Source organism: Homo sapiens, chromosome 6, assembly GCF_000001405.40.
Source record: "Homo sapiens chromosome 6, GRCh38.p14 Primary Assembly".
NCBI lineage: Eukaryota > Metazoa > Chordata > Mammalia > Primates > Hominidae > Homo > Homo sapiens.
In genome coordinates, this window is record NC_000006.12 from 52,803,909 (window position 1) to 52,817,096 (window position 13,188).

The 13,188-nt window shown below is 42.1% G+C and overlaps 1 pseudogene, besides 1 other annotated feature; it reads right to left on the reverse strand.

Annotated features, from left to right (window-relative positions):
* Positions 1,538-9,554, reverse strand: GSTA6P (glutathione S-transferase alpha 6, pseudogene; annotated as a pseudogene).
* Positions 11,674-11,723: an enhancer, noted in NCBI's record as "active region_24690". NCBI's record gives its function as "activates an Ori minimal core promoter by ATAC-STARR-seq in GM12878 lymphoblastoid cells {active_cell/tissue: GM12878}" and the evidence as "EXISTENCE:reporter gene assay evidence [ECO:0000049][PMID:35858748]".

Below are 13,188 nucleotides of genomic sequence, written 5' to 3' on the forward strand. Positions count from 1 at the left end.
ACTCCCACACATTTCATGGCCAAGGGGCCACCTACTGGATTCTAAGACATGAGGCAAGTGATCTGCTTATCAGAAGACACTGGTTAATGTGTTCCTTTTCAAGGTTGGCAATCAAAGTTTACACAATACATTTCACCGAGATTTTGCTCTTTTTGCAAGTCAGCAGAAACTGGCTTTTTAAAGATGCTTTTTTTCATGAGTTGGGTGCAAAGACTAGGGCAACTGAAAAATCTCTATTGTGAGCATAGCTGGGAGAGGATGTCTGTGAAGGGCAAGCTGATGCCACCGTTTTCTTACTGGGTTGCCAAATAAAATATAGGACATCCATGTAAATGTGAATTTCAGGCAAACAATCAACAATTTTTTAGTTATAGCTATGTTCCAAACACGGTATGAAACCAGATTATACTGAAATATTATTTATTGTTTATCTGAAATTCACATTTAGGTGGGTATCCTGTATTTTATCTGACAAATCCAGAGACCCTATTTGCATATGCTATCCTCTTTGCGTCACTCAAATTGCCCATAATATAACAAATCTGAAAGTATTCATCACCTGGATTCATCAATTGCAAATAATCTTATTTCACCTATACCATGTAGGGGGTTATGTTGGCCCCCAAGAAAGATAGGTCCATATAGAAATCCCTAGATCCTGTGAACTTGATCTTATTTGGAAAAAGGCTCTTTGCAGATGTAATGAAGTAAAAGAATTTGAGATGAGATCATCTTGGTATATCTGGATAGGCCCCAAATCCAATGACAATTGTCCTCACAGCAGAGAGAAGAGAAGACACAACACACAGGGGGTGAGGTGCTGGAACACAGAGGCAGAAATTAGAGTGATGTGGTCATGATCCATGAAAGTCCAGAAAGGCCAAGAGCCCCCAGAAGCTAGAAGACGCAGGGAAGGATTCCTGGAAATCACTTCTAATCCAAACACGCTGGCACAATGACACACCAGGGAAAAATAATTTTGCATATAGTTACTTATATGTAATTCGCATATACCATCTGTATCTTCGCAGCCAGGCCTGAGTGGCACTGAAGGAACTGAGGGAAGGCTTATGCCCGGGTCCCCACAGAGCCTTGAGGAGAGTGAGGATGAGCCAGGAGCACATGCACTGTAAGGGATGACAAGTTGGCCTGAGAGCAGAGGGTGGGTCTGTTTGCTCTTCAATATTTCCTCACCCCTTACAAAACTGAGGGATCCATAGCAGACAGAAAGGTTGTTTGAAAATGCATAAGAAAAAGTGTTTTCATGAGAAATAAAATGGATGTCAAGGAAAAAAGAAAATTTCATTTTGCCATTCCCCAGAATGATAACTGTTTTCTTGTGCAGAATGTCAGAAGTAAATTTCTATACATGACTTTCTGATAGGCCATTTGACAAATGTTGCAGGACAATTCTTGAAAAAGTCAAACAAACCACATAGTCTACATTTTACTTTTTTACTAAATTTTTAATTCCAAGAAAATTTATGGGGAGTTTGGAAATCTGATTTCATATCAGATACTAATGAAAAGAAATCAATTTTAACTAAATCTGGTCATAGGCATTTTACTATGTAATTAGCACATAATTTTTAAAAAGTTTATTAACTTCACAATAGCCACAACCAACATTTAGATAAAGCAATTTATTGTTGCAAAACTTTAGAATATTGGTATTGCATGTTCTTGGCATCCATGCCTGTTTTATCAAACCTTGAAAATCTTTGTTGCTTCTTCTAAACCTTTCGCATTTATGGGAAGCTCCCTCAGGCTGCCAGGCTGCAAAAACTTCTTCACTGTGGGGAGTTTGCTGATTCTGATTTTCAGGGCCCGCAATGCACAAAGCACAGCCTCAGAGTGAAGCCAAGGGCTAACACCACCATTAACACAACCCAGGGAATCTGCGCCCCTCCTACACAAAGACCAACTAAGTTCCCTCTATCAGCACCAGTAGGGAGGCAGAAAGAGACACTACGTGAGAAATGAAGATAAGAGGAAGAACATGCAGCTCACTAGCATTTTCCCAAAAAATGTCTTTAAGACTTTATTCAGTTCAGTCTTCCTACCCTCTTCCTTACACATGAATCTTGTAGATTCATGGCTCTTGTAGAAGATGAGAAAGAACAATGTGCCTGTGAGATAGCACAGATCAGTCTCTAAGCAGAAGAAGTGAAGATATGGGAAAATTGAGCTAGAAATGAAAATAGAAAATGTTAAAGTCAAACCATGGGACCACTTTTTCCCATAGAGAGATATAGCTTTCAGGGGCAGCGTGTTGGGAGAGCTGTGCACAAGGAACTCAGTTATCTGACAGCAAGAGCCAGAGCATAAGGAAGGAACCAGATGGAAAGGGCCCTGCTCAGACACACTTGGTGTGGGAAGATAAGGGCATATTGGGATAAAGGGCATCACAGAGAACTCAGGAACAGAAACCACAGTGAAATAAAGGGATGAGGAGAGATGCTGAGTCCTGGGTCCTTGGCATTATAAAAAGCGAAATATTCTTGGGGTAGCATGCACATGTAATTTCCTTGGCATAACAAGAAGGCATTTCCATGCCTCAGAATCAGGACCTGGAAGCTCATTTTGGAGACCTGGGGGGCCCTGAAGACCTGGAGAAGGCTGAGGTCAGAATGTGGCCAGTTCAAGGACCCAGATACTAGATCCCAAGATGGGAGATGAGGAGCTGCCTCTTGAGGACTGGGAAATGGGTCACCTTCAGCAGAGGGAAGTTGGAGATGAGGCTGGTGTCAAGCTCTTCCACGTGGTAGAGAAGTTTGACCAGGTGAATGTCAGCCCGGCTCAGCTTGTGGCCAACGAGGTAGTCTTGTCCATGGCTCTTCAACACCTGGAGAATCAGAGGAAACAGATCAGGAACACATGTGCAGTGAGGCTGGGGCCTCTGCTTCTCCCTGAGTTTGTCCAGGCTGACTCTCCCTCTCCCACCTCTGCTTCCTTACTGGGCAGGTGCAAAGATCCAGATCTTTCTCCATGTTACCTGATTCAGTGAGAGAGTAAGAAGTGTGGCTCTGCTTACTCCTTGTTTGGAGCCCAGGCTCCCATTTTCTCCTCTCATTCCACATCACTATGGCATCCACAGCACCCACCCAGCTTGCATCTTCCACATGGGCCAGGGGCTTTTCCCCTGCTGCAGCATGTCCTGTCTGCCCCAGGCCCTACAGTGTGCAGCCCTGATGTTCAGTGGCTCTACACACTCTCTCTCCAGTCTCTCTTGGGCAGCGACTCCACCTTCATGACAGCACTCTTCTCCCACGAGTAGACTATTTCAGAATCCTCATTTCTCCTCATCTGCCCTCCTCATTTCCTGCTCTGGGATCTGAAATAAGCCTGGGTGAACTTTAATTCATCCTCTTTCTTGCAATGGTGGTTCTTACTGCTTTGACTATGTTATAATCTGCATGCCACTGTGTCCCAGGGTGAACTGCAAAGATGTCTGCAACTTACTTTGAAATGCACAATAATAATAATAATAATAATAATAATAATAATAATAATAATGTGTTTGAGTGAGGCAAACAGGGGTGGAGTGACTGACACGTGATAAATCAAAGATAAAAGGTTAACTTTGCTCTTTAGATCCTTGGTGTATATATGTTCATAAAACATTTCTTTGGACTACACCAGATCTATACATTTTTAATAATAAAGTTTTTGAGTGATATATGATATTTATTAAAATATCTCAGCACATTGACATCATAAATAATAAAAAGAGAAAACATATGGCAACACTGATTTAAGATAATAGTTTGACAATACATTTTCAGACTATGTATACATACAAACGTATGGATAATGACTTGGTACACAAACAAAACAACTTCAATGCTATATTGTAATATACATTGTTCAAATGCACATATCACAGGCTATTTGGTAGAACTCGTAGAATTCTTATTCACAGTCTATTTTTATACCATGCCTTGGGAGTCAGGTGCTCCATTAACATCAAGGAAAGCTTCTTGGAAGTGAAGGTCAATGCCCCAAAAATACACAGGTACTATTTTATTTTTCTGTTGCCTTGTGTTATGGACTGAATGTTTATGTTTCCCAAAAATTCATATGTTGAGATCCTGACCCCCAAATCTTTAGAAGAGATCCCTAAAAAATATATTCTTTCAAGCCATTAGTAGGTGGGGGTTTCAGGAGATGATCAAGTCATGGGGGTGGAGCTTTCATGAATGACATTAGTCCCCTTATAAAAGGGTTCTCAGAGAACTCCCTTGGCATGTTTGCCATGTGAGGACATAGCCAGAGATTGGCTGTCTATGATCCAAGGAACAGGTGCTCCCTAGATGTGAAATCTGCTGGCACATTGATCTTGTACTTCCCAGCCTGCAGAGCTGTGAGATAGAAACATCTGTTCTTTAAGCTACCCAGTCTATGGTATTTTGTTATTGCAGCCAAACTGCTAAGAAACCCTCTAAACTCTTAGTGCCCTTATAGACTAAACAGCTTCTATCATGACCCTTACAACAGTCAAATACACCAGCATTGGCCAATAACTGCCAGCTTCCCTAATTTTTGCCTCTATTTTCAATTTATGACCAACCACAGAAAGCAAAATATGGATCTCTGACTAATCCCATAGAAATCCACACTTCTAGTTAGCCAGCTTACAGCATCCCTAGGCCAGCAATCAGGACATAACTTTTTCTACCATGAATCTCTCAGACTTTCCTGCCTACCTCTGAATCTCTGATAAATGCAAAAGATGGCGGCTGACTTCCTTTCTATAGCAAGCTCTGTATAAACACCTTTTGCTTATTCTCATTTGGACTGTCTTCACTTCCACAGTTTTTCTGGAAGTTGCAACAAGACATGGTCTATGTTGCCCGTTGCCATGGACCCCATCCGTCAACCAGGTGCTGTATCCACAAAGGCTCCTTGTGCCTTGTGGCAAGTCAGCACCTGGGCTGAACTCTTTTCTCTTTGCATTGAACTCTTTCACTTTTTATTCTCAGGTTGGTCCTTGGTTTTGGTATTGGTTCTCATCTGCTTAGCATCCTTTGTAGAATCAGGACTTTCTTTTCATTTCTTTTGTAGTCTTTCGTGTTACTTTTTTTTGTCGTGCGATCTAAAGGTGTTATTTGTCATAAAAGAAGCAGCATAAGAGCAGAGGCCCAGGAGCCTGTTTTTCAAGATAGCCTCACAGTACATTAAGTTTGAGGTTCTCACTGGACCTCTTTCCATTTGTCACACTTTGCTGTGGGTCACCCCTAAAACCGAATGAAGTTCTTCTCTCTTGATTTTTGGTTCTTGTTGTTCTGCAAACTTGGCAGTGCCAGACAGAAACATCACAGTTTCCACTTGAGGCAGAGTATTGACTGTGACTTTAGATTTACTTTATCCTTGTTAGGTGGTAATCCATATATCTGACTGAATAATTCTCTATTGTAGTTTTGAGGCTTAAATCATGTAGCCACTAAAAAGCTGAAGAAATGCCTAGGGCGAGATCTGGGGAAGGGGCATGGACCTTCCATGCCTTCCCTGGACAGGCCACCCTCCAAGAAGCTCCACGTGTTCAGCTATCCAGAAGCTCCCAGGTACAGTTTCAAAGACAGGAAAATAATGGCTTGTTGTTCCCTCTGATCAGGGCAAGCTTTGCATCTTTTTCCTCAGGTGGATGCAATGAGCAATGAAGAAGCTTTTCACTCAAACCTGCCCTACCTTCTGTATACATTTCGACCCCGTAAGACAAAAATAACCAAACTGCTGAGTGCCTTCTGCCTTAGATTTTATGTTTAAACACTTGAGACCGTGAAGCATTAGGTGACAGGAAAGTAATTCAGCTCCACTGCGTGCCTTTTATATGCTAGTCATTAGGCTATGATTTTTATAAATATATTTACATTTATTTCTCAGAACACTCTACTGTGATAGATTTATATCTAAAATGTTTGTTATACACATGACCAAATACAGGTACAAGAAACATCGGTGACCTGTCCAGCGTCACAGTCATGAGAGAAATTAGTGGAATCACTGCAAGTAACCACTGATGCTACAAATAGGGTTTGCTCACTCTGCTGTGGTTTGTTTTACACATAAGCCCTGCCATTTACATAATCCCAAGACAGCCTCCCCAGCACAGTGATCTCGAACGTGTCTGTTTTCCTCTCTCATCATACTACAAATCCCAGGCTCACTTTTATGCCCAATATTAGAAGTTCTTAAAAAAGAAAAAAATAAAATTAATAAAGGAAAAACTAGGAAATAAGGTATGTCTTTAAAAGATACCCCTAAAAAATATATTTTTTCAAGCAAGCTACTAATTTTCAAAAAACAAAAAAAAAAGAAGCTCTCTCAATTATTTTCCATAAAACATTGTTCCATTACCTTTTCCATATGATGTTGTCCAATTCTAGTCATGATTGTGTTTCAAGACCTCACCTAATATTCCCATGGTAATGTGGGAAAATTGTTTACATAGTAAAATTGGTAAACATGGTAAAATTATTCATATAGTTAAAACCAGTGCATAGCATAGGACATCTTCTTTCTTCTCATTTCAAACTGTGTTTCCTACAAAACTTTTATTTATTTATTTATTTTGTTTATTTGTTTGTTTGTTTTTTTTGAGACAGAGCCTCGCTCTGTCACCAGGCTGGAGTGCAGTGGGGGCAATCTCAGCTCACTGCAACCTCTGCTTCCTGGGTTCAGGTGATTCTCCTGCCTCAGCCTCCTGAGTAGCTGGGACCTTAGGTGCACGCCACCACCCCCGGCTAATTTTTGTACTTTTAGTAGGGACTGGGTTTCACCATGATGGCCAGGAGGGTCTTGATCTCTTGAACTCGTGATCCACCCACCTCAGCCTCCCAAAGTGCTGGGATTACAGGCATGAGCCACTGTGCCTGGCCCTGTATTTTATTTTTCTTTGAGACAGAGTCTTGCTCTGTCACCCAGGCTGCAGTGCAGTGGTACAATCCTGGCTCACTGCAACCTCCGCCTCCTGTATTCAAACGATTCTCCTGCCTCAGCCTCCCGAGTAACTGGGATTACAGACACCTGCCACTACGCCTGGCTGATTTTTGTATTTTGAGTAGAGATGGGGTTTTGCCATGTTGGCCAGGCTGATCTTGAACTCCCGACCTCAGGTGATCTGCCTGCCTCGGCCTCCCAAAGTGCTGGGATTACAGGCGTGAGCCACCATACCTGGCGAATACTTTTAAATAACAGCTTTATTGACATGTATTCACATACTATAATTGCCACCCCTTAACAGAATATTATTCAGTAATTTTTAGTACATTTACAGAATTCTGCAAATACTGTCACTGTCTAATTCCAGAACATTTTTATCACCTGGGAAAGCAGTAGCACATGCTTTGGCAGCCATTCCCCATTGTCCCCTTTCTCCAGCCCCTGTCAACAACTGATTTCCTTTCTGGACTCAAATGGTCTGGATGGTTCATACAAAAGAATTCATGTTACATGTGGCCTTTGGTGTCTGGTTTCTTTTATGGAACATGTTTTCAAGGCTCACCCATGTTGTAGCATGCATCAGTACTTCATCCCTTTTCATAGCCCAAGAATATTCCATTGTCTGCTACAGCACAACTTGTTCCTCCATTCATCCATGGGTGGACATTTGGGTTGTTTCCACCTTTTGCATAGCATGAATAATTCTCCTATGAACATTTCTGTGCATGGATTAGTGAGGATGTGTTTTCCTTTCTCCTGGATGTAGACCTGGTAGTGGAATTGCTAGGTCATTGGTAACTCTATATTGGACTTCTCAAGGAACTGCCAGCAAAGGAGGAGACCCCTCCTCCCAGCTTTGCTGATGCAAAATCAGTCTGGCTGCTTAGGTCTGTATCAAATGCTGCACTTTAGGTAATCCTGGTATCTTGGGCACCAGCCTCTCAAACCTTAGTCAAGTGGACCAGTTCATACAACTGGCTGGAAACTTAGGTTCCTGGTCACCATTCTTGGAATTACTGGAACCTGAGATTCAGCTCCTTTGCAGCATTCTCTCCCCAGGCCTTCATCTACCGACTCTCAAACATTCTATGCCTTGTCCTAAGCTGTTGGCTGGAGTCCAGCCTCTGAAGTCCCGAGCACCTGGAATCATGATTCCCCATCCTCCTGAGTTCATGGTTCATCAGCGTTTGGAAACCTTTGTCAGGGTGCTGGATCCATAGGCTGCATTGTCTTCTAGAATCACACTTGCCTGAACCCTCCCCATATTCACTCTTTTCTCATCTCCATGGGACTCTGCAATACTGGACACCAGCGTATATGCCCAAGGCCCAGCCTGCTGCTAGTCGTGATGCTCCTTCCACGGTCCTGCCCACTCACAGAAGGACCGAAATCACTCTGTGTTCTCTGTTGATGGAAGAACAAAAAATATACTATATGGGGCTCTCTCCTTTATGTCTTTCCCACACAGGTTGTATTTGCTGGCAATGTAGTTGAGAATGGCTCTGGTCTGCATCAGCTTCATCCCGTCAATCTCAACCATTGGCACTTGCTGGAAGAACAAACTCCCATCTTTAGAAAATAGAAAAAAAAAAAAAGGCAGAGTGAAATTTCTATGAATCCCACCCTTTCAGGATGAAAAAGTGGTTGTGGAAATGACTAAATGTATAAAATGAAAAAAAAATTGCCTGGCAACTGTTCAAATGAAATAGGAACTTATTTTTAGCTTCTGGAAGTGCTTTTTCTTATCAAGCGTTCTTTTACTTTTTATACTGTTACTTCATTTATGTTTTTATTTCCCATCCAGCTACAGAATAGGTCGCTTGTATTGTCTGTGTTGATTTATTTTCATGATATCTTAGGAAGAAGTTGGGAGAGACTGCAACAGGTCACCAGCCAGATGCCATTTAACATGGGAATTTCTCAAAGTAAGTCTCATGCTGTTGAAGACATTAAACACAGTTCTGAGAGAAGCTTCTATGTAGGCTCTTTGTGTGCCCTTCAATACCCCCATTAGACAGTGTGTGCAGGGCAGGCTCTGTGTTTCTTACCCCATGGCTTCTACCCTGGCTCATGTCCCTCCTCACCCTGTGACCTGGACTTCCAACCAAGTCAACACTGTCTCATTATCTAAGCAGACAATATTGCAAAGATATCACCTTGTCAAACTTATAATAGAAACAATTCAAAATGGACCTATTTCAACTCCTTTTGTCTAAAACATGTCCTTGCGTGTCTTTGGATGGGGTGGGCTATATGAGATCCTGAGTTGATGACCACAGCTCACTCATGGTGCCAAAAGCAGGAAAGCAAGAAAAGGGATCCTCAGAGTGCTGGAGATGGTTCTCCAGCAAATACAAAGAGAAGTCTGGCCCTTTTTAGCCTGGAAAGAGTTGCCAGACCTGCTCTAGGAGCCCATCCTTTCCATTTTATGATTTTCTCCCTCTCCACCATCACCAACTACAACCCTACACACATGTAAGCATTGCTGGCTGTTCAAACCTCCCTGTGTACCTTCTACTAGATACCCTCCTCAGAGGCACTTAGAGACTTGATCTTACTATTTCTTAACTTTTCCAAATCTTTTGCAGATTCCAGAAATTTCTCTTCAAACTGGAAGCAGAAACAGTAAATGGGCTCTTATTAATTCATTCCATAGCACTGTAGACCTTTAACCTTGAATGGCTTCTGGCTGGTACATAATTTGGAAAATATAAGATTTCTGAGCTTGGCAGAGCACACAGAGGAGGCTGGTGGTGGCCATTTTGAAATTTACACTAGATCATCGAGAAAAGGGCATGGATCACAGCACATAGTCGCTCAATCTTCTAGTTCACTTTACTTCCACCTTGATCGCTCCCATGTCCATGATTAGGTCATGATTTGAGAGGGGATGTCACTGCAGTTAAAGGATCATGCAGTTCTTCTAATTATGATGTTGTCATATCTTAGGAAAGCATATGTCTCTGAGTGAGATCAGACCACAACCTTTGTGACCCCAGCATGGGTATGCCATAGGCCAGTGGCCACCAAAGATTCTGCCACCAAGGGCCCTCTGCTATAATTTACATCAGCTTAGTTTGTAGGAGCCCTGCTAAAGTTGAAATAGGTCATAGCTGTTGCACAGTTATAACTCTTGCAATTATAATTTTCCCTCCTGGAGAATATGGGACACAATAGAATAGAATTCTCAATTTCAGGAAGGAATTAAAGTCCCCACAGTAACATTATTTTTAATGAAAATCTCTGGCTTGTGACATGGCTGTGTGGGTTTAATATCACTGTTGTCATGTCCTGGCTTCTTGACTTTGGACACATTGTTAAATCTCTCTGTGTCTCAGTATCCTAATCTATGAAATGGGAATACTTATGGTACCTATGTTATAGGTTGGTATGAAGATTAAATTTCAAAGTCATGCAAAGCACTCAGAAAAGTAGCAAGTGTGTAAGTGCTCATTAAACATACACTATTAGGATTCTGAAGTATGGCTGCTATTTCATATCATCCTTAAAAAAATTAAATCAATCTAATATTGATGAAAATATACTCTATTGCTGATCTATATCAGTGATTTAAACTTTGAAATAAATCACACCTTGTCCTGAGTGTAGTCACTTTGGTTGGAATGGCAGCCAGCAATAAGGCTGTCTCAATCTGATCAGAAGCTCTGAGTGGATGCAGGTATTTAATACAACTATGAAAACCAGTTATTGCATAACAATGCAGTTGACTTAATAGGCAGAATCTATAAAAATAAAAGTCAAAGTAGACACTTACCAAGATTTCCTGTATTTCACTGTTGATATGATCTGGTACCAATCTTGACTCTGCCTCAAAATAGCTGTGTGATCTGGGAATCATCACTTAACATCTTCAAGCCTTAGTTTCCTCATCTGCAAAATGGGGATAGAATATTTTCTTAAACAGAATATTGTAATGTTTTCAAAATGCATGATACAGGGCCTGACCCGCGTGCATCAACATCAAGTAATAAATGGTAGTTGTGTTTGCAGTGGTTACTTATAGTTTAATGGAGTTCTTTACGGTGAAAGTTCAGGAATTTGGGGGTTTCTAGCTTGCTCCATGGAACAGTTTGTTGTGGATCTATGATCGCACAGGACCAGGATGTGGAGATCATGGGGGGTGTGTGCCAGCAATTAATAAAGCGTCCAATTCAGGACAAACCTAAGGAACGGTGGGTGGTCCTGGCAGGAGGGTGACCGAGGTGGGGTGGGATTGGCAAGTGGGATGTGCTTGTGAGGCTGAGGACTGGGTTGTGATCATCAGCCTTAGGGCACTGAGACCCCAGAAGCCTGAGCAAGGTCTGCAGTCAGCCCTGCCCCCGCCTTCAGTCAAGCTGGTTGGAGGCCAGGGAGTCTGGGTTCCTCCCAGCCTTGCCCCTCCCTCCCTCCTGCTGAACTCTTCCTACCCGGGCTCTGAACACATCCCTGAGCTGTAGAGCTGATGTCTGGGTGACAGGGTATTCATTCATACAAAGAAAACAACCTGGAATGGCAGTGTTTGGATTTCTTGTGTGCTTATTTCTTCATAGGATTGAGAAAGGGTGAGGCTAAAGTCCCAGGCCCTCGTGAAGCAATGAAGAAAGTGCCTTCCCAAGGTTCAGGCCCACACGGCGCTGTGAGGCTGAAGGGGCGCGCTAGAACTTCCTTTCACAGGATGCCACCTCACCTGAAACCCTCCTTTTCGGCTGCCACCCGAGGGACAAGATCTCCTGAGTCTGTCCATGAGTTACCCCGAGGAAAACCCTCAGGCAGCCCCTGAGGGACTCTGTTCTGGACTTGGAAGTGTTTTTCTCAGTGACACCTCTAGAGGGCAGCACTCAACGGAGTCCCACAGACACCTCCCAGCATTTCCTGCTCAAACACTGGAAGGATGACCTGGTAACGCTGGGGACTGCTTGGGTGTTCTCCTGGAAGCTCCTGATTTTAATCACCTGTTTACTTGTCTCCATTCTTATAGGTATGTAGGCTACTCGAGAGCAGGAACTGAGTCTGTCTCGTTCACTGTCTATCATCAGAACCTCACACAGCACCTGGCACTTAGTAGGTGCACAACAAAATAATCATCGAATTAATATACTCAGTCTTTAACAGGTTATTTGTTATAATCCACTGCCTTCCACCTCTCATGTGTGGTATGCATTTTAACTTTACATTCACTTCCTGATATACATTTTATCCCCTTATTACATAAATTTCTAACATGTATAAAAATAACACAAAAGTATCACGACCTTCCTTGTATTCCTCTCATAGAATCAGTAACTACCAATGTTATTGAAAAGAGTCAAACTCTGTAAAATATTTGGAGATTTATTCTGAGCCAAATATGAGTATCTAGTGCCTGAGATACAGCCCTCAGGAGATTCAGAGACCGTGTGGTCGAGGTGGTGAGGGTACAGCTTAATTTTACACATTTTCAGGAGACATGAGACATCAATCAAATATATATAGATGTACATTGGTTTGGTATGGAAAGGAGGGATACTGGAAGTGTGGGTTTCCAGGTTGTGTGTAGATTTAAAATTTGTCTGATTGGCAGTTGGTTGAAAGGGTTAAGTTACTATCTAACCACCTGGAATCAATAGAAAGGAATGTCTAGTTTAGGATAATAAGGGGTTGTAGAGAACAAAGTTTTACCCTGCAGATGAAGCCACCTGGTAGCAAGTTTCAGAGAAAATGATTGTACTTGTTTCTTATCAGACTAAAAAAGTTTGTTCTGTTAGTAATTCCAAAAGAGATGAGGTATAATGAGGCTTGTCCAACCCCCTCCACTTCCCATCATGGCCTAAATTCATTTTTCAGGTTAGCTTTGGAATGGCCTTGCTGAAAAGAGAGATCCATTCAGATGGTCAGAGTGAGGGAGGGAGCTTAGAATTTTATATTTGGTTTACACCAACTAAAGCCAATGTGTTTTCATATACATGCCCACCCACTTCCCCCATCTTGTAATAATGTAAGGAAATCCCAAATACCGTATATTCCATCCTTAGATACTTCAAAGTGTTTCCCTAAAACATAAAAACTATGATTCCAGCAAACCAGTCTCAGATTCCAGCAAACCAGTCTCATGTGCCCATTGGTTAAATGTGACCATTCTCGCCATGCTAAGAGGTGCGAGTATGTGGTAATAATGAATGTAGGGAAGTTAGTGGGAAGAGGAAGAATTCAAGAACTAATATTTATTGAAAACTTTCGACTGATCCTTCCTTCCCCAATGCTAGTCTC